The 23,126-nt window shown below is 38.1% G+C and overlaps 1 pseudogene, besides 1 other annotated feature; it reads right to left on the bottom strand.

The window, feature by feature from the left end:
* Positions 991 to 1,492: an enhancer, noted in NCBI's record as "NANOG hESC enhancer chr7:55725366-55725867 (GRCh37/hg19 assembly coordinates)". NCBI's record gives its function as "activates a minimal SCP1, AML or CMV promoter by ChIP-STARR-seq in primed H9 embryonic stem cells {active_cell/tissue: H9 hESC(primed)}" and the evidence as "EXISTENCE:reporter gene assay evidence [ECO:0000049][PMID:30033119]".
* LOC643348 (ankyrin repeat domain containing 26 pseudogene) lies at positions 2,314 to 21,795 on the bottom strand (annotated as a pseudogene).

The following is a 23,126-nucleotide window of genomic DNA, read 5'->3' on the forward strand; positions in this document are numbered from 1 at the left end:
GAAAGCCAAAGGATAAAAGATAATATAACTGACCTTCAACAAACAGTTCTCTATGTTGTGAGCTTGAGGAAGAGATCCTTAAGTTTTCTCTTGGAATATGGCTTTTGTTGAGACCTAAACTGTCATTAAGATTTCTGGTGCACGGTGATTCTAAGACTGGCCTTCTATTATGAGGAGTGAATAAAGATCTGGTCTGCTTTTTCTCCACAGGAAGTAGGGTGCTGACGTCTGCTAGCATGTCATTAGTTCTGTGAAGATTGTAAAAGACAAATGCTTAGTATCTCATTTTTTTCCTAAATGACTTGCAGCATTTTAAAAGTTGCCGTAAGAGTAGGTGGAATACACCGTAAGTCATGTTTTAACTCCAAAAATGTGTTAGAGCATGCCTACTGCATGCAATTATAGTTTTTAAATTCTTCTGAAGAAGTACGTGTATTTCTAGGGGGATTTATAGCAAACAAGTAAGTCAAAATAGGGAGGGGAGGGAAAAGGTTTTCAATAATGTATGGCTTAACAGGTAACACTTCCTGCTTTCTGGAATGGCTCTACTTATGAGATTCTTAGGGATGCCATTAAAAATACTTGCATTTAAAGGGTAACTATGTGAAGTGATGAATATGTTCATTTTCTTGACTGTAATAACCATTTCACTGTGCATATAAACATATCAAAACATCATGTTGTACTCCTTAAATATATACAATAAAAAAAGTTTAAAAAGCTAGAAATACTTGTATTTAGTAAACCAGTGAAAAGATTTTAGAAAACTATCCCTCAAAGACATTCCTGAAAAATCATATTCACCAGCCTTTTACATTTAACCCATTGTCTGGGAAAAATTAAGTGTTTGCCACTGAGGAATTATTCAGAGTTTATTACTCCATTTTCATGCTGCTATGAAGAAATACCCAAGACTGGGTAATTTATAAAGAAAAGAAGTTTAATTGACTCACAGTTCTGCATGGCTCGGGAGGCCTCAGGAAACTTACAGTCATGGTGGAAGGCACTGATTCACAGGGCAGTAGGAGAGAGAAGTGCCGAGCAAAGTGGCAAAAGCCCCTTACAAAACCATCAGATCTCAGGGGAATTCACTCACTATCAGGAGAACAGCTGGGGCTGGGGGAACCGCTCTCATGATTCAGTTACCTCCCACTGGGTCCCTCCCATGACATATGGGGATTACAGGAACTATAGAGATTTTGGTGGGGACACAGCCAAACCATATCACAGAGCAACAACTCCCGGGGGAGAATGAGATAGCTGAGATCAAAGACAACTAAAGCAGCTCCAAAGGCAATTAGCGCCTAACATTGTGGCCCAGGCATCAGAGGTGGGGCCTGCCCTTTCTGTCTTCCACACACCCCCTCAGGCTGACCAAGGTGTTATTTTTCACCACTTTGTGGATTATACTTCCCTTCAACCTAATGTTGAAGTATGCCTTTATGTGGAGTGGAAAAACTATACAGGATTTGTTGTCTCAAGGCACCCTCTAATGATAATATCCAAGATAGATCACAATCAAGGAAAGTAAATTTACTGAGTGCCAGAATGTGCCCAGAATAGTGGTACTTGACTCTTGCTTTGTCATCTTCCAGAAAATAATTACATTTGTTGATATTTCTATTTAGGGGAATGACGACTAACAATTTTATGATAGTATCACTGTCTAAATTATAAAGATAAAAAATATTTAGCTGAAAACCTAATAGATCAGGTTAACTACATGAGAATATGAAGGAAAAAATGCCACATAAAACTTCAAAACAGGGGAGACACACGAACTGTCCCGGACGAACATTTTAAAGGTAAATTCATTTACTAACATCACTTTTGTAAATTGTCGAATCTAGTTAGCTTTGACTTCCCACGAATCTCAGAAACCTGTCTCACTAAAAATTATGTTTTGAAGGCAAATTAATGAGCTTAATTTATTTTCAGTGATTCTGTGTCTTGATTTACTTATTTAGTTCACCTGACAGGGATCCTCTGTTTTTTTTTTTTTTTTTTTTTTTTTTTTTTTTTTTTTTTTTTTTTGAGATGGAGTCTGGCACTGTTGCCCAGGTGGACTGCAGTGGCGTGATCTCAGCTCACAGCAACCTCTGCCTCCCGGCTTCAAGCAGTTCTCCTGCCTCAACCCCCCAAGTAGCTGGGATTACAGGGGCCCGCCACCACGCCCCGCTAATTTTTTGTATTTTTAGTAGAGACGGGGTTTCACTATGTTGGCCAGGCTGGTCTCAAACGTCATGATCCACCTGCCTCGGCCTCCCGAAGTGCTGGGACTACAGGCGTGAGCCACCGCGCCTGGCTGGATCCTCTAATTTATAATTCCTCCAGATAGAGCTGCTTATAGTTTACCAATTCACTGTTATTAAAGTCTGCTTGTGAAGTTTTCATTTTGGAGAGTTTGGCTTCCAGTTCTTTAATTCTGAGTTTCATCTGACTTTTTAGTGAGGTAATATTGTCTTCTCTTAACTGCTCTAACTCTTCTTGAGACGCTGCTCATGTCTAAAATGAGCATTTAAAAGAGACATTTTAATAGTAATTATCACTTGAATAATTATTGTGTATTTGTTTCATTTAGTTTTCAGTCAGTGGTTCAGAGAGTGATTTTAGGTATTTTTTAAAAAGAAGCTGAAGTTTAATATATTTATCATGAGTATCAACTGAATTCACAACTTAATCTGAATTGTAAAAAAACTGAGTCATTCTTATGGTAGTACTCATGTAATGTGATACTCCAAAGCATAATAGAATCAATTTTAAATTTTAAAATTTGAACAATGTAACTTAAGAACAATCCAAGAATATGGTTTAATTTGTAAATCACAAACGTTTTATTTCTCTCTTCATCTTGTTTTATGCCAACTGGTCTTAGTAATCAAAGGATTTTCTAATAAGAATCATTATTATGGAGGATCAACTTAGTTATAATAATGATGGGAACTAAAATATTTAAAGGAAGAAACAGCTACTACCATCCTTCTAGAAATCTACCAAACAAATTGCTATAAAGTAGGGAAAACACATACAATGTCTATATCCAAAATATAATTTGCAGTGAAATGAATGAAAGCACATTACAGGTAAATACAACAACCTGCAAGAAGAGATTGACTTAATTTTTCTACAATCTCTTGTCTTGCTCTTTCTTTCATCTCTCATTTATATTGTTCAGCTTCACCATGTTCTAACATATTTCTTTCCATATAACTTTTGAGGTTTAATACTACCTGTGCTAAGTGCCTATTGTTCTTCTGCAGTGTTACACATTTCTTCTGTATTGTTTTCATATTTCTCCTGCATTGTTTTCATATTCTGTATTGTCTTATTTCTTCTATATTGTTTAATGTCTGTTGAAGAACTTCATTCTCTGCATCCAGATGTAGACATTTTGAAGATGTGGTTTCCCATGCTTCTGTAAGATCAACCTGCATGAGTAAAATAAAATAGTTTGGTAATGAAGGAGGAAGGCCAAGAATGGTCTAACATGAAACCAATAACAACTTTTGAAAGAAATTCAGCTGCAATAAAATGTTATATATACTGTAGTAGATTCATAATATTTGGACCCTTGAGTTATTCACAAAATCAAAAAGAAAGTTAAAACCACTAGGAGTCACAAAAATATATTCTTTACTATCATCATTTGTGCCATACAACATTTACTTGTTTATTTTTCTATTATAATGCCTCTATGCCACCCCTTACTACAAAGACTTTCACTCGTTCCCCTACATTGTCATTCCCCATAATTTCTAAAGAGGTTTCAGGGAAAACATATTGAATTATTTAGGTCTCAGTCAGTACATGGCTCCCAAAATAAAACTTTGAAAATAAGACTCTAATTTGTAAATCTTGTAAATGTGGATTCCAATGCTATAAGCCTTTTTCTGAACTATAAATGTTTTATGCTAATTTGAATTACATTTCAAGGGGTAATGATTCTTGGGGTTAAGAAGCAATTATATCTCCTAGTATAAAAGTTCAGCAACATGATGATCCATACAATTTTCCTGAACAAAAATGTCTGAATTCAATAGCACAATCTTATAATCCTCTGTTAGTTTACACAAAGTAAGGGTGCATACTAAACAATGATAACAAAAGATCTTGCTAAAATTTCAGTGCTACTGAGTTGGAAAGAATAATTTTCCTTTAGATGGAATGATTATTTTATTTTAAAAAGGTAAGTGGAGTGGCACCACTACTAATTGTTTGACATTTCTCCCATGAAATTCCCTCTCCTGAATACAAGCTGGCATTGGTAATTGGTTACTAGTGAACATCATATGGCAGAACTGGGTGCGACTTCTTGTTTTTTTTTTTTTTAGACAGAGTCTCGCTCTGTTGCCCAGGCTGGAGTGCAGTGGCGCTATCTTGGCTCTCTGCAAGCTCCACCTCCAGGGTTCACACCATTCTCCTGCCTCAGCCTCCCGAGTAGCTGGGACTACAGGCGCCCACCACCACGCCCAGCTAATTTTTTTTTATTTTTAGTAGAGACAGGGTTTCATCATGTTAACCAGGATGGTCTCGATCTCCTGACCTCATGATCCACCAGCCTCGGCCTCCCAAAGTGCTGGGATTACAGGCGTGAGCCACCGCACCCAGCCAGAACTGTGTGTGACTTCTAACGTTGGATAAGAAAATGTATTATAATACAGCTTCCACCTGACTTTCTCTCTAGGGAAGCTTGTTCTTAGAATCCAGCCACCACAATGTAAGGAAGACTGAGCCAAATGATGAATCCTCATGTAGGTGTTCCAGCTGACTGCCCCAGCTTCACTTCCCAGCCAAAAGCCAGCTTCATCTGCCACACAGGCAAATCAACAGGACTTTAATATTTTCAATGATTCTAGTCTAAGTTTCAAGTCACTTCATCTGATACCATAGAAAGTGAGATAGCCCCACTGAGCCTTGCCTAAAACTGCAAATTGTGAACAAAATAGATACTGTCTTGAGACAATGAATTTTGAGGTGGTGTATTACACAGCAATAGATAACTGATACAGATACTGACACTAAATATGGGCTACTGCCATTAAAAGATACTACTAAAACCTGGCAGGATACCATTGGGCCAGGAGCTAGGTAGAGGCTGAAAAGACCTAGAGAAGAATAATGAACACTGAAAGGGCTTCAAAGAAACTGTTAGTGGAAGCCTGTCCCACTCACCCTGAGACTGAAGCTGTGGCACCTAAATCAGCATCAGTTTAAGAGCCCAAACCGCCCCCTACTACCAGACTACATCCTGCCCAGAGACCCAACAGCCCCTGCATCTCCACATTCAGTGGAGCACCGCTGACATTTCACAACATTCACAGAGAGGACTTGCGGCATCATGCACCAGCTGGACCCACAACACCTGATGTGGCTGGGTCCCCAAAACCCTAACCTTGCAGCACCCTACACCCTTGGAAATAGTTGGTCCGGCCCACCAGAAAAGGTACTCTAGGACAAAGGAATCCTAAGTATGTGCTCCTAGAGCCTGAGAGCCACCTGACTGAGGCCATGACCACCAACGCAACCCTGTCCCCTCCAGCGGCAGCACTGCTGCACACCTGTGCACACCTTCAGGAGGCCTGAGGACTGACTCACGCATGTGCACCATCCTAAATCCTGAAAGCCAGCCTGCCCAACCCACCAGGGGCAGTGCCTGTGTGAGCCATATGGGAGCCTGAAGACAAGGTCACCTTGCTTGCCACTGCCACTATTGCTGCCAGTGCCTACATATGCCGTCCAGGGCCTGAAGGAGGAGCCCATCCCACCCAGGCCTATATGTGCATTCTGGGGCCTGAAGACAAGTCTGCCCCATCCACCACTATCACCACAAGTACCTGTATTCTGGGAGCCTGAGGATTGGCATCCCTATTTCTATAAGTGTCCATACACACTGTCAAGGGCCTGAGAACAATTCCATTGCCCCACTGGCACCCACACATGTCCTCCAGGGCCTGAGGACAGGGCTGCCCCACCAGCCACTGACAAAGGCTCCTGCATGTGCACTCAGTGAACCCATAAACAAGCTTGCCCCACCCATGGCTATAGAAACCCACCCAAATGTGCCACACAAGGGCCCAGGAAAATGCCCAGCCAGACTGCTGTCACCATTACTAGTGCCCGTTCATGCAACCCAGGGTCTGGCCCCTCACTGCTATTGTCATTGTAGGTACCACAAGTTCCACCCAGGGTCCTTAGGACTGTCATGCCACTGCCACCTCTGATCCCAGCACACACTACCTGGAGGCCCAAGCACCAGCCCACCCAGGCAACCCACTGCCTCCCAAGTAGCTGAGATTACAGGCACCCGCCACCACGCCCAGCTAATTTTTGTATTTTTAGTAGAGACGGGGTTTTGCCACGTTGGCCAGGCTGGTCATGAACTCCTGACCTCAGGCAATCCACCCGCCTCGGCCTCCCAAAGTGCTTGGATTACGGGCATGAGCCACTACACCCAGCTGAAAGAAAAATCTTAAAGGCAGGTAGAGAAAGGGTCAGATGACATACCATGGGAACTCCATTAGGCTAACAGTGGATTTTTCAACAAAAATCTTACACATCAGAACAAAGTGAGAACCTATTTTCAGCATCCTAAAAGAAAAGTCATTTCAACCAAGAATCTCATATCCTGCCAATCCAAGCTTCATTAGTAAAGGAGAAAAACAAAACTTTTTCAGAAAAGCAAATTCTAAGAAAATTCATTACTGCTAGAAGTGTTATAAAAAATTCTTAAGGGAGGCTGGGCACGGTGGCTCACACCTGTAATCCCAGTACTTTGGGAGGCCAAAGTGGGTGGGTCACAAGGTCAGGAGATAGAGACCATCCTGGCTAACATGGTGAAACCCCGTCTCTACTAAAAATACAAAAAAAATTAGCCGGGTATGGTGGTGGGCGCCTGTAGTCCCAGCTACTCGGGAGGCTGAGGCAGGAGAATGGTGTGAACCCTGGAGGCAGAGCTTGCAGTGAGCGGAGATCGTGCCACTGCACTCCAGCCTGGGCGACAGAGCGAGACTCCGTTTCAAAAAAAAAAAAAAAAAAAATTCTTAAGGGAGTTACAAACACAAAAATGAAGGAAACAATAGCTGCTATCACAAAACCAGATTTAAGTCCATAGCCCACAGATCCTACACAGCAATTACACAATGGAGAACACAGAGCAACCAGCTAACAATATCGCGACAGGATCAAAATCTCATATACCAGTGTTAATCTCAAATTAAATGGTCTCAATGCTCCACTCAGAAGTCAGGGTGGTAAGTTGAATACAAAAACGAAAACCAGCCACTGCTTGTCTTCAAAACCCATCTCACATGTAATACCATGCAAAGGCTCAGTGTAAAGGAATGAAGAAGGATCCATCATGCAAATAAAATGGAAAAGAAGAGTAAAGGTTGCCATTCTTTTCTTCTTTCTTTCTTTCCTTTTTTTTGAGATGCAGTCTTGCTCTGTCGCCCAGGCTGGAGTGCAGTGGCGTGATCTCGGCTCACTGTAAGCTCTGCCTCCGGGTTCAAGTGATTCTCCTGTCTCAGCCTCCCAAATAGCCAATTTTTGTATTTTTAGTAGAGACGGGGTTTCTCCGTGTTATCCAGGATGGTCTCAATCTCCTGACCTCATGATCCACCCGCCTCGGCCTCCCAAAGTGCTGGGATTACAGGCGTGAGCCACCGAGCCCAGCCGCTATTCTTATATCAGATAAAACAGACTTTAAATCAACAACAGTAAAAAAAGACAAAGACGAGCATTACATAATGATAAAAGGCTCAATTCAACAGGAAGACTTCATTATCTTAAATATATAGACACCCAACATTGGAGCACTCAGATTCATAAAACAGTACTTCTAGACCGATGAAAAAGTTTAGACAGCCACATAATAATAGGCGACTTCAACACCTCGCTGACAGCATTAGACAAACCACTGAGACAAAACCTACAAAGAAATTCTGGACTTAAATTTGACTCTTGATCAATCAGGCCTAATAGACATCTATAGAATACTCTATCCCAAAATCACAGAACATACTTTCTTCTCATGTGCACATGGAACATACTCTAAGGTCAACCACATGCTTGGCCATAAGCAAGTCTCCATAAATTTAAAAATAAAATAAAATCATACCAAGCACACTCTTGGATTACACTGCAATAAAAACATATCAATACTGAGATATCTCAAAACTACAGAATTACATGGTAGTTAAAAAACGTGCTCCTGAATGACTTTTGGGTAAACAATGAAATTAAATCAGAAACAAAAAATCTTCAAAATAAATAAAAACAGAGACACAACATATCAAAACCTCTGGGATATTGCAAAAGCAGTGTTAAGAGCAAAGTTTACAGTGCTAAATGCACATGCCAATAAGTTAGAACAATCTGAAATTAACAATCCAACATTACACTTGGAGGAACCAAAAAACAAGAAAATAACCCCAAAGCTAGCAGAGGAAAAGAATTAACTAAAATCGGAGCAGAACTGAATGACATTGAAACCCCAAAACCCACACAAAGGATAAACAAAAATTGATTCCTTGAAAGAAAAAAAAGATAGACTTTTAATTGGATTAACCAAAAGTGAGAATATTTAAATAAGCACCATCAGATATGACACAGATGACATTACAACCGATCCAACAGAAATAAAATAGATCCTCAGAGACTATTATGAACACCTCCATGCATACAAATTAGAATTTCTACAGGAAAACAGATAAATTCCTGGAAACACAAAAATTTTCAAGACTGAACCAGGAAGAAACTGAAATCATGAACAGACCAGTAACAAGTTCTGAAATTGAAGCAATAATAAAAAAACCTACTAACCAAAATAAGGCCTGGACCAGATGGATTCACAGCTGAATCAGAACCAAAGCTGTTCTCAATCCTACTGAAACTCTTCCAAAATATTGACGAGGAGGGACCCCTCCCTAATTCAGGAGTTTGAGACCACCTGGACAAAATTGCAAAACCCCGTCTCTACAAAAAATACAAAAATTAGCTAGGCGTGCTGGCATACACATGTTGTCCCAGCTACTTGGGGGCTGAGGCAGGAGGATCACTTGAGCCCAAGAGGTTGAGGCTGCAGTGAGCTGTGTTTGCACCACTGCACTCTAGCCTGAGAAACAAAGTAAGACCCTGTCTCAAAAAACAAAACAAAACACAAAGCTAAAATTGACAAATGGAACTTAATTAAAGAGCTTCTGTACATCAAAAGAAACTATCAACAGAATAAAAAGACAACCTACAGAATGGGAGATTTTTGCAAACTATGCATCTGACAAAGGACTAATATCCAACATCTATAAGGAACAAACAAATTTACAAGAAAAAAACAACCCCATAAAACAGTGGGCCAAGGACATGAACAGATATTCCTCAAAAGAAGACATACATGCATCCAGTAAGCACATTTTTAAAAAAGATTCCTATCATTACTCATTAGAGAAATGCAAATCAAAACCACGAGAGACTAACCCACACCAGTTGGAATGGCAATTAGTCAAAAATATTTAATAACAGATGCTGGTGAGGTTGTACAGAAAAGGGAACACTTTTACACTGCTGGTGGGAATGTAAATTAGTTCAGCCATTGTGAAAAGACGTTTGGTGATTTCCCAAACAACTTAAAACTGAACTACCATTCTACCCAGAAATCCCAATATTGGGTATATACCCAAAGGAATATAAATCATTCTACCAAAAAGACACATGCACTTGTATGTTTATCGCCACACTATTCACAATAGCAAAGACATGGAATCAACCAGGAGCCCATCAAAGGTGGATTGGATAAAGGAAACATGGTACATTCACACCATGTTACACTATATAGCCATAAAAAGAACAAAATCACGTACTTCGCAGCAACATGGATTTAGCTGGAAGCCATTATCCTAAGCAAACTAATGCAGGAACAGAAAACCAAATACTACACGTTCTCACTTAGAACTGGGAGCCAACCACTGGGTACACATGGACATAAAGATGAGAACAGCAGACACTGAAGACTACAAGAAGGGGAAGGATGGGAGGCGAACCAGTGTCAAAAATGACCTATTGAGTAGTAAATACTCACTACCTGGGTGACAGGATCAATCATACCCCAAACCTCAGCATTATGCAATATACCTTTGTAAAAACATCTGCACATGTACCCCCTGAATTTAAAATAAAAGAAAGAAAAAGAATAAACAAAATGCTTTTTAAAACTTGCCAAAGAAGCCGGGCGCAGTGGCTTACTCCTGTAATCCCAGCACTTTGGGAGGCGGGGTGGGCGGATCACGAGGTCAGGACATTGAGGCCATCCTGGCTAACACGGTGAAACCCTGTCTCTATTAAAAATACAAAAAAGTTAGCCAGGAGTGGTGGCGGGCGCCTGTAGTCCCAACTACTCGGGAGGCTGAGGCAGGAGAATGGCGTGAACCCGGGAAGTGGAGCTTGCAGTGAGCGGAGATCGCGCCACTGCACTCCAGCCTAGGCAACACAGAGAGGCTCTGTTTCCAAAACAAAACAAAACAAACAAACAAAAAAAACTTGCCAAAAAATAGAAAAACAATCCTAAAATTCACATGGAAGCAAAAAAAAAAAAAAAAAAAAAAGCCAGACTAGTCCGCCTATTCATGAGGAAAAAGAGCAAAGCTGGAGGCATCACTTCTACCTGACTTCAAAATACATTACAAGGGGCCGGGCGCGGTGACTCACACCTGTAATCCCAGTACTGTGGGAGGCCGAGGCAGGCAGATCACGAGGTCAGGAGATCGAGGCCATTTTGGCTAACACGGTGAAACCCTGTCTCTATTAAAATACAAAAAAATTAGCCGGGCGTGGTGGCGGGCGCCCGTAGTCCCAGCTACTGGGGAGTCTGAGGCAGGAAAATGGCATGAACCCGGGAGGGGGAGCTTGCAGTCAGTGAGCAGAGATCGCGCCACTGCACTCCAGCCCGGGTGACAGAGCGAGACTCCCTCTCAATAACAACAACAACAAATTACAAGGTACAGTGACTAAAACATGGATTGTTATAAAAACAGATACATAGACCAATGGAACAGAATAGAGAACCCAGAAATAAATCTACATATTTACAGGCACATGATTTTTGACAAAGGTGTCAAAGGTGTCAACAACATAACATTGGCAAAGAACACTCTCTTCAACAAATTGGGCTGGGGAAACTGGATATCAGTAGGATGAAGAATGAAAGCAGATCCTTATCTTTCACCATAAAATCAACTCAAAATCCATTAAAGACTTAAACATAAGACCCCAAATTATGAAACTACTAGAAGAAAATATAGGGAAAATACTTCAAGACATTGGTCTAGGCAATGATTTTATGGCTAAGACATAAAAAAGACAGGTAAAAAATAAAAACAAAGATCAAAAATAGATAAATGAGACTATATTAAAAGTTTCATTACAGCAAGGAAAACAACCAATAGAGTGAAGAAAATCCATAGAATGAGAGAAAATACTTGCAAGCTGTTCACCTGACAAAGGTCTAAATCCAGAATATATGGGAAAGCAAACACCTTAACAGTGAAAAAGTTAGTAGTCCAACTAATAAGTAGGTAAAGGCTCTGAGTAGATTATTTCTCAAAGGAAGACATACAAATGGCCAATATATGAAAAAGTACTCAATATCATCTCACCACAGTTAGAATGGCTACTATCAGGAAGACAAAAAGTAAAAAATGCTGGTGAGGTTGGGGAGAAAAAGGGAATTCTTATGCACTGGTGTAGGAAATAGCAAATTACTATAACCGTTATGAAAAACAGTGTGGAGGCTTCTGTAAAAACTAAAAATAGAACTGTGGTGTGATCCAGCAATCCTACTATTGAGTATTTATCCAAAAGAAAGAAAATCAATGTATCAAAAGACACCAGCACCCCCATGTTTATTGCAGCACTATTCACAATAACGAAGATGTGGAATTAACCTCAATGTTTATCAACAGATGACTGTGGTTGATGAATAAAGAAAATAGGGCACACATACACAATGGAATACTATTTAGCCAAAAAATAAATTCATGTCATTTGCAACAACATGAATGAGCCTGGAAGACATTATGTTAAGTGAAATAAGGCACAAAACCGTAAGTACTGCATGTTCTCACTCATGGGAACTAAAGTAAACAATCTGAGGTCATGGAAGTAGAGAGTAGAGCTGTGGGTATTACAGGGTGGGAAAGGTAGGGGGAGTGGAGGATGGGGAGAGGTTGGTTAATGGATACAAAATTATAGCTACATAGGAGGAATTAACTCTAGTGTTCTGTGGCATTGTAGGGACACTATGATTATGATTTATAGTGTTATTTTTAAAAAGGTAGAGGAGAGGATTTTCAATGTTCAAAGCACAAAGAAATAGTAAATGTTTGAGGTGATGGCTTTGCTAATAGCCTGATTTGACCATTATACACTGGCTACACTTATCAAAATATCACTGTGAATCCCATAAATATGTACAATTATACATGTCCACAAAAATAAAAAGGAAATTGGGTATGATGTAATACACCTGTAGTCCCAGCTATTCACGAGGCTGAGGCAGGAGGACCCCTTGAGCCCAGGAGTACAAGGCCAGCGTGGGCAATGTAGTGAGTGAGACACTATCAATCAATCAAAAATAAATAAATAAATAAACAAACAAACAATTCATCCTATAAACAGACTACGGGCCACACTTAGTGACTTGCTTCTAATGAATAGAATGTGGTACAAGTGATACCGTGTGGCCTCCAACATTAGGTTAGAAGACGCTCTCTACCTCAGACTGCTTGCCCTTAGAACCGAGCCCCCACGTTGTGAGGAAGCTCAGGTCACAAAAAGCACACAGGAGTTCCAGTGCAAGTATTTGGGCTGCCTGCCCCAACTAAAGTTCCAATCAACAGCCACTGTCAACAACCAGACATATCAGTGACCAGACCTTCAGATGATTCCAGTCCCCCAATATTTGATTGACTGCAAGTGAAGCTGAGGGGAGCAGAGAAGGTTGTCCTGGACAAGGATTTTCCAAACCACAGATTGGTGAACTAAATACATGTTGCTGTTAAGCCACTCACCTTTGGGTAGCTTGTTAGGGAAAAATAAACAGGAAAATGGACTTAAACAAAAAGACAGTAAGAAATATAATAGCTTACACAGTAGTAATTAGTCTCCTTTAAAGTAGGATCTACTAAATGTTGAGGTTAATTTGTTAATGACAAACAATGCTAATGAGAAGCAGCAGACAACCAGGAGACAGATGTATGAACTATTGAGGAGGACGTTTAGAAAAAGTTCCCTTCAGTTACAAATTCTCATAACTAAGCAAATGAGGCCCTTTAGCATTTGCCCCTCAAGTTATGGGATAAGGAAGATGAGGAAGGAAGGATATATAATTTGAAGTATGAAAGTTGAAAAAAAACAGAAGTATTTGATATAATAACCCAAATCAGACATTTTACCTGATTTCAATGAACTGAAATTCTAAAAGTGATAAGCAGCTGAGTAATTATTAATCAATCTAGTATTTGATCTTCATTTTCATTTCCTCAATGAGAAAATAAAGAGAATACTACGGAATCAGTTTTAACCTTCTCTGTAGTAAAACAAATGTAGTGTCCTTTACATGTTAAAAAATTAAATACAATTTCCCTTCAAGCTGAGAAGGTAAGACCATCTCATCTTTACATTGTACCAAAATGCTGCTCCATATCATACAAATTGGCTCTGAAATTTTGAAATTCATACAACTAATTTGACTATTTGTCTCTGATAAATACCTGGACATCACCTGATTTTTAGGTGCTGCATGCCTGAAAATTTTTATTTGAATGGGTTGAACTACTAATTTGATTATGTACTGAGCTATAAAGCATAGCTAGGCACCTCTGTTAAGTAAAAGCAGTTAAATACAGAAAACTGTAATTTCTGAGGATGTAGGATCTGTGCCAAGAAAAGGATCAGCTCCAGTGTTATACAAAGAACCAGGCACCAGGTCAACAGAGGATCTATTTGTGAGCTGTAAGATGATGAATTAGCTCAATTTCCAAAGAGGAAAGCAACAGCCCAGACTTAATCTTCTCCTTCCTACATGGCAAAAATCTACACAATTCTATGACTTATTATGAGTTAGTAAATATAATGCAGTAAATAGTAGACTGAGTCAGCAGATCCTCTAACCAAGATTTGATGAAAATGGGAGTGAAGAGGTTAGGGACTGAGTGAGAGAAAAACGGTTTGAACGGAGAAAAAGAAATGAATACGCTCTGTCTTTGTAAGCCTGACTTCCCATTGTGTCACAGGAGTCAGCAAGGTATTAATATAAGCTGGCCACATGTTCCTTCAAGAAGCAAACAGTGAAATTAAAGGCATCCTACTACTTGAATTTCTATTCTTACTTAGGACAATTGGGAATAATAAGCAACATGACTGAAAAATAATTATCCTAAAATTAGATTCGGTACTGGCATGATGATAGACATAGATCAACATATTAGAATTGAGAATCCCAAAATAAACCCACATATTTATGGTCAATTGATTTTCAACAAGGGTAAAAAAACAACAAATGAGACTATTAATTTGTTAAAAAGAATAGCCTTTTCAACAAATGGTAATGGGGCCACTGGATATCCATATGCAAAAGAATAAAGATGGACTCCTAACATACGCCACATCTAAAATTAACTCAAAATAGAACTGCTAAATATAAGAGCTAAAACTATAAAATTCTTTATCAAAATTTGAAATGTCTGCACTTGAACAGACATCATCAAAAAAGTAAAAATAAAAGCCATTGAGTGAAATAAAATATTTGAAAATCATATCTGTTAAGGGCTCTTACACATAAGATCTATAAAAAACTTAAAATTCAGAAAAAAAAGGGAAGGTGATTTTAAAACGGGCATAGCATTTAAATAGACATTTTCCCAAAGATACACAAGTGGCTCATAAGCACATAAAAAGATGCTTAACATCATTACTCATTAGGGAAACGCAAATCAAAACAAAAATGAGGTATCGCTTTGCGGGGCGCGGTGGCTCACGCCTGCAATCCCAGCACTTTGGGAGGCCAAGGCGGGTGGATCACGAGGTCAGGAGATCAAGACCACCCTGGCTAACACGGTGAAACCCCGTCTCTATAAAGACACAAAAAATTAGTCGAGCATGGTGGTGGGTGCCTGTAATCCCAGCTACCTGGGAGGCTGAGGCACGAGAATGGCTTGAACCTGGTGCAGGGGAGGTTGCAGTGAGCCGAGATTGTGCCACTGCACTCCAGCCTGGGCGACAGAGCAAGACTCCAACTCAAAAAAAAAAAAAAAAAACAATGAGGTATCACTTCACACCACTAGGATAGAATCTTCAATCAAAAATGTGAAAAATGTTGGGAAGATACAGAGAAATTAGAATCCCCATACAATTCTGATGGAAATGTAAAATGGTGCAGCCACTTTGGAAAACAGACTGGCAGCTCCTCAAATTCCACTTGTAAGTATACACCAGCAATTCCACTTCTAAGTATACACCCATGAGAAATGAAAACATATGCAAACACAAAAACTTGTACATAAAACTTCATAGGAGTATGATTAATAGCCAAAACATGGAAACAACCCAAAGTCCATAACTGATGAATGGGTAAATAAAATGACTGGTATATCCACAGAGTGGAATGTTACTCAGCAATTAGAGGAAGTTGAGTACTGATACATGTTACAATGCGGATGAGCCTTAAAAATGTTATGCTAAGTGAAAGAAGCCAATCACAAAAGACCACCACATGTTTTGTGATTCAATTGATATGAAATGTCCAGAATGGGCAACTCTATAGAAACAAAGTAGACTGGTGGTTCCCTAGAGTTGAGGAAGGGCAAACTGGTGGATGATGGCTAAATGATGCAGGGTTTCTTTTCAGGGTCGAGAAAATGTTCTCAAACTGATGTTGCTGATGACTACACAACTCCATGAATATACTAAGAGACTTGTACGTTTTCAATGGGTGAACTGTATGTTATGCAAATTATATACCAACACAGTTGCTTTAAAAAATCCAGTGGCAGGATCTAGATACATTTCTTAATTCTCTACTTTGGATGTATATACTCTACACGATCTGAGTATTTCCATGCTTTTACAATATACTTAAAATGAAATGAAAATGAAGGAAATGCCTAACATTTCAAGTACTTTGTAAATTAATCTAAAACATTTGCATTTTGGAGAAAAGTTTAATGGCCTTTCCATACAAGTTATCCTGAAATTCATGCAACAAACAGACACACACTCTATACCCATTCATGAAAGACAAGAAATAAGACACTTCTTTGGAACACTATATTAAACATTATCCTCTGATTTAATCTGGCTTGCCTTACCATGACAGTAGAGAAATAGCTAAAAAATAATGGTTTGCAGAAAAAACTCTCTCAACTGCTGTGAGGAATGAGGTATAATTTCCAACTTTCATGAGGGTAAATATTATTTTTAAAATGTATATACTTATGAGAAAAACATGACAGAATGAAAGTCAGAGGTTAAGAAATAACTGCATGATAAAGTTAATAAAGTTAATTATAATAAAAATAAAACCTATCCAATGCAATTAGTATCCTAAAACATTAGATATTATTCCACTACCTATAGATTAACCATTGACATGTTATGTTTCATATATACTTGACTTCTGATTTTACCTAATTCCTTCTTTGAATCTTGGGTCTCTTCTAAATTAATATGATAATGTGGTGTAGCCTCCAGGTAAGGCTCTGACATAGGTTGTGTTTTTAGGGTATCAGCCAGTTCTTGTTGAAGTTGTCTCATAACTACCTGTTCAGATATTTTTGTTACTGATTTGACATGTTACCTTATTAGTAAATCATGTAATAAGATTTAACATGTACTTTGAAAAATAGCACCACATACATGAATTTACCTTCTTTTCCTATGTGTATACATGCTTATTACTGAATTCAGTTAAGGACACAGAAGGTATTATTTTCCTGCCAAGTCAGTATTCTGCTTAGATTCAGTTCACTATTCACTCACCCCTGATACATTTGCAATGCTTAACTTCCTACTTAAGTCACAAAAACAAATCCATATGTGGGTGGGACTGGTGGTAGAAAATGCAACATTGTAAAATGTTTTTCCTCTTTTTTATTAGAAGCTCAAAGAAACCCCACCACTCCTGACATCCTCAATTGCCTGCTCAGATCCTTCCAATAGATTTCTATCTCAGAATACAAGTAAAATTCCAATTGCCTTCCAGGCCCTAGGTAACCACCCGGCCTTCACCTCCCTCCTTGACCTCAGCTCATACAAATCTCTTCCCTACTCACTGCTTTCTCACTGTATGTGAATCCTACCACCTCCCATTAGATTGAAAATGGGGACCTAACGTCAAACAAAGCAATCGCAGATAGCCACAATTATCTTTGTGTGGGACAAAGTCATATCCAAATGATAGCCATTGAGCCTTGAAATAAAAATTGTGGGCAAATTATTTTTAAGAACATTCAAAGTATAAATACCAGTGGTAAGATTAATCAAATATGGTTTTGCTGGAAATTCACATCTGTCCCAAATTATGATTTAATAAAAAGTAAATGCTTTTAAATAATCGAGATGTCATAACAATACTGATATTGAAATAGTCTCAGATTAAAGTCAAATTGATACAAATAAAAATAAAATTATACAAACGTAAATACATAAAAAGCCCCTGAAGGAAAAGTATTATGAGATACAACAGTATACTTCAGTTCACCTGGGAAATCTTGAATTAACAGTCAAAGTAACCCACCTAATAGAATCTTAATTTCAAAAGACTTATTTCAGATATAAGGCATTTCTGTTTATCTGCTTCATCATGGTCTTAAAATGTGGCCACATACAAATATTAAAATTATTTTAGCAGTATGTCTACATCATAAATATTAGTCTATATCTACTAACAACTTGTAACTTAACCTCTTAAAATTTCAAAGGTGATATAATTTCTTTACTCAAAGTAAAGTGTACTTCAGGTCTTTCTTTTGCTGGTATGTTTCTAGGCTAACACAGCAAATACACTTTTATTCTAAGTATATTTGTACATACTTTTTTATTTTTTTTGAGACGGAGTTTAGCTTTTGTTGCCCAAGCTGGAGTGTAATGGCGCGATCTCGGCTCAATGCAACCTCCGCCTCCCGGGTTCAAGTGATTCTCCTGCCTCAGCCTCCTGAGTAGCTGGGATTACAGGTACCCGCCACTGCGCCCGGCTGATTTTGTATTTTTAGTTGAGATGGGGTTTCTCCATGTTGGTCAGGCTGGTCTCGAACTCCCGACCTCAGGTGATCCGCCCACCTTGGCCTCCCAAAGTGCTGGGATTACAGGCATGAGCCACTGCACCCAGCCTATTCTACATACTTTTATATGCAACTATATATAACATTTAGCATAACCAAATATTACTTTAAATTTTCTTTCTTTGAGTTTGAAAAATATCTTTCTTGGTACTTACTTTTTTTTCTTTCTCTTTTTCACATTGATATATTCTTTCTTTCAAATTATTACATACATTGATTAAGTCTTTGTTTTTCTCTTCTAGCGGAAGACTCTGCATTTCACTCCCAGCTAGATTTTTTTACTACAGCATGGATTTGGTCTTGGATAGTACTGATTGTCTTTTCTTGATTGTCAGCTTTCTTGTGGGCATCATCCAGTTGCTGTCGAAGCAACCTATTTTCACTTTGTAGTTGAGCACATCTCTACTCTATAGATTCCTGCTTCTTCGGCGTATTTATTTACTTTGCTTTGTTCATTTTTATACATTCGTTCAATTTCTTTCTTTTGACACCGTGTTTGGCCTAGGTCTCTTTGGAAATATTCTAAAACTGACGTCTTTTCTCTGAGTGTTTCCCTTGCATGATGAAACTTAATTTTTAGGCTGTTAATTTTACTGTCAGCATTAGAGAGTTTTTCAGAAAGAATCTGTTATCTTTTAGGTCAGACATATCAGAATTCATTTTCTCCTGTAAATGAACCCATTCATGTCCTGTTCTCTGGAAAGCAAGTTCTAGGTTTTCTTATGCTGTCTGACTTTGATCACAATCATGTACAGCAGCAGCCAGCCTGCATCGATATGACTGAATTTCCATTTCCAGTCTTTCCATGTTGTGTTTTACATTCTCAAGTTGAGAACTGAGAGTTTCATTCTCAGCTGTCAAAATGCTAAGCTGTCCACTGTACTGAAATACTATTTTTGTTGATGTTTCCTCATTCAGTTTTATCATATTTTGAAGGTTGTCATTCTTTTCTTTCACACTTTCAACATCCTTCAAATATTTCTTTTCTTTCAGCTGGTTCTGATGTTTTATTGTGTCTAGTTCCAGTCTTAGCATGGCAATTTCTTCCTGCAACATACTATTTTTATGCAACAGGTCTTTTTCTTTCTTATGGCTTTAAGAAATCTAAGTAAACAAAGGAAACTTAGCACTCAACAGAATGACATATCATGGTTTCTTCTGAAATTAAAGAATAACCTGTATACTTGTACAATGAAAGGATTCCCATAAGTGGATATTTAACTGGAAAAAATGTTAAATCAAAATTTCAAACCTCAGAGTGTAAATTCCCAAAAGTTAAAAAAATCTATTTGAAGACAATGAATCAATAGAAGTAAAAAATAAACCACTAGAGGATTTTTAAGACTCTCAGAATTGACAAAGCCTTTCTCTGAATTACAAAAAACCCAGCGGCATAAAATATGAGATTGATACATTTGACTACATTTTTAAAATTTAAAAATTTTAAAATCTGGTATCTAACCTATACACCACCCCATTGTAAGACTCTTAGTTCTGCATTTATTTGGACTGAAGAAATTTCTCAAAGTTCTCTAAGTTCCTTTTTCCTGATAATGTTCTATAGATATTCTACTTTTCTAACAATTTTATTGTAAGTTATAAAGATTACACTTATTCATAAATGTTAAATCTAAGCATTGTACATTTCTACATTTTACACTTCTACATCTAAGCATTGCACTTTTACATACATTACTGAACTCATTTAAGGTCGCAATTCTGAAGAGGAGAGATTGAAATATATGCAAGATGCAGGATTTTCCCCAGGTCTTCTGATTCTACTTCTAGTCCTCCTCCATCAAATTGCAGTTACTTCTGTGGTGTAAATATATAAATACAAAAGAAGCCTCTTATTTAAAAATACCAACGGTAAAATTTATAAAGATCTTCTTAAAAAATCATGAGATTATTTGCTATTGTAATAACTTTTATTTCCTCTTTATAATGTTTGAAACAATAATAAGTGTGAAATAGGGGGAAATACACTGAACTATTTTTCTAGAAACAAAACACTTACCAATAAATTATCACTAAATGTATATTATTCTACGTCATTGTTTTCAAAGCCCTTTGCATTGAAATTAGATACTACTTGGAGAAAACTTTGAAGTTCTTCAAAAGTAAGAATGACATCCACAATATGGCCTCTAAACTGGCTATACATTTCCTCCTTATCTATCAGTGAAAATAATAAACTGACTTCTCCATTAATATTTTGAGAAGATAAAACAATGTCCGAAAACTAGAACGTCTGTTGTTAGTACCAAAAATTTTGAGATTATGGAAAGATCATCAATTCTTATAAAAAATATCAAATGTTTCTTCTTTGGATTGAGGCCATTGTGAATGTCACTACTTGACTGCTGCAGACTAATGGAGCTGAATTAAGAATATGGCTTTATCCTACACACACACACACACACACACACACACGCATATTCTATATATAGATACACAAACACATAGGATGTGTGTGTGTGTGTGTGTGTGTGTGTGTGTGTATATATATAATTTAAAAATCCTTTATATTTTCCAAGGTACATAGAGTTGGTTTTTCAAATATATACACATACAAAAACATATTTGAAAATGACTAAAGAAAATACCTCAGAATTCATTTTCTTTTGAGCCCCTTCGACCTCCTTTTGCTTACTGGTCAGAGTCTCATCTTCTAATATTCTGGCATTCTGCTCTTCAGAAAGTTGCTTGTGGGTATCGCTTCGCTTCTGCACAACCTAGACATACATTACATTTTTGGTCTAATAGCATTGAAAAAGAAAATCTAAAGGAACAGAACCTTTTTTGTAAAACTGTTAAAAAAAAAAAAAGTAGCCTATTGAAACACAAGGACTTTTATCCCTCAGGAATTACTCAAACTTTAATTGCATACATGACAGCTAAATTTCCCAAAGAGGAAAAACAGTTCTTACCTACAGAAAAATACAGTATTGTGTAATAAAATTTCTTTCAAAACATGTAACTAGCTTTGTTATAGTCTCAAAGCTATAGAGCCTGTATTTTAACATAAAAATACACAAATATTTATGTGATTAAACTCAATTTATCCTCCATTCCTTCATTCAGAAAACATAAGAGATAGTTTGAGCATCTAAGACTGAACATCACAGGCAGAGATGCCAAGGTTTACAATAAATAGCTATAAATGTCATACTTCCTTTTTAAGATTAAATAACAGTCTTGGTATGTTTTGAAACTAAATTATGTACATTACATCAAAGGAATATTATAAGTAATATTGATGAACTATAAAGTTAGAAATATAAAGTTTTCACCAAAAATTAATTTACCTGATCCAAATTCTTTCCTAATGTCCTCAATTCTGTGACCAGTGATTTCAGAGTCTGAGTTGCTGTTTCAACTTCTTTCCCACATTCCTTTTCTTTTCTTTTTAACTGTTCACTATCTTTTTTAGGCAACATATCAGCATTTCTTCCCTTTTCTTCTTCTTTTAAGGTCATTCTACAGTAAAACATATTAAAATTTGTCTTCTTAGAAAATAAAAAGTTTATTTTGTTATCTGGCTCTTCCTACCCAGTGTTTATTATTCAAATAAAATTTCTATGTTCTTGACTACTTTTCCTTTCTAGTTCTCATGTTTTTAATTTCTCACTTCAGTCTCTTCCAAGGGATAAATATACTTGAAAGGTAGTGAAGAAAAAACATCCTGCTAATTGGTGAGTTTCTGTTACTAGCAATTCTGATAAATGTTATGAAAAAGAATATTAGAAATTATTTAGTATAGTTACACGTTGAAAATTACTTCTTTTTGGCAGGGCGCCGTGGCTCACACCTGTAATCCCAGCACTTTGGGAGGCTGAGGCGGGCGGATCACAGGGTCAGGAGATCGGGACCATCCTGGCTAACACCGTGAAACCTCATCTCTACTAAAAATACAAAAAAAAATTAGCTGGGTGTGGTGGAGGGTGCCTGTGATCCCAGCTACTCGGCAGGCTGAGGCAGGAGAATGGCGTGAACCTGGGAGGCGGAGCTTGCAGTGAGCTGAGATCGCACCAATGCACTCCAGCCTGGACGACAGAGCGAGACTCCCTCTCAAAAAAAAAGAAAAAGAAAATTACCTCTTTTTCACACAGTCATAAGAACTCAATTAGGACAGATCATTTCAAATTAACTAATTAAAAAGAACATACTACTTACAAACAACTTTGTAAATTCACTAGAAATAAATTTTAATTTTCATGAAATACTGCAGGTATCCCTAAAATGATTTACAGTGCAAGATGGCTCCATCGGGCCGGGCGCGGTGGCTCAAGCCTGTAATCCCAGCACTTTGGGAAGCCAAGGCGGGTAGATCACCCAAGGTCAGGAGTTTGAGACCAGCCTGACCAACAAGGTGAAACCCCATCATTACTAAAAATACAAAAATTAGCCAGGCCTGGTGGCAGGCATCTGTAGTCACAGTTACTTGGGAGGCTGAGACAGGTGAATTGCTTGAACCTGGGAGGTGGAGGTTGCAGTGAGCCGAGATCAGGCTGCTGCACTCAGGCAGCCTGGGTGACTGAGCGAGACTCCGTCTCAAAAAAAAAAAAAAAAAAAGATGGCACCATCGGATGTCAGTCACACAATATATATCTGCAGATTACTATAATCCAATACAAGGCAATGGGGTCTAATATCTGTTAATCCAGCTGTCCCTGGTCTTTTTGGCACCAGGGATTGATTTTGTGGAAGACAATTTTTCCATGGACCTGGGGGAGAGGGGGCTGGTTTAGGGATGATTCAAGCACATTACATTTATTGTGCACTTTATTTATATTATTA

The sequence above is a fragment of the Homo sapiens genome, chromosome 7 (assembly GCF_000001405.40).
Source record: "Homo sapiens chromosome 7, GRCh38.p14 Primary Assembly".
Taxonomy (NCBI): domain Eukaryota; kingdom Metazoa; phylum Chordata; class Mammalia; order Primates; family Hominidae; genus Homo; species Homo sapiens.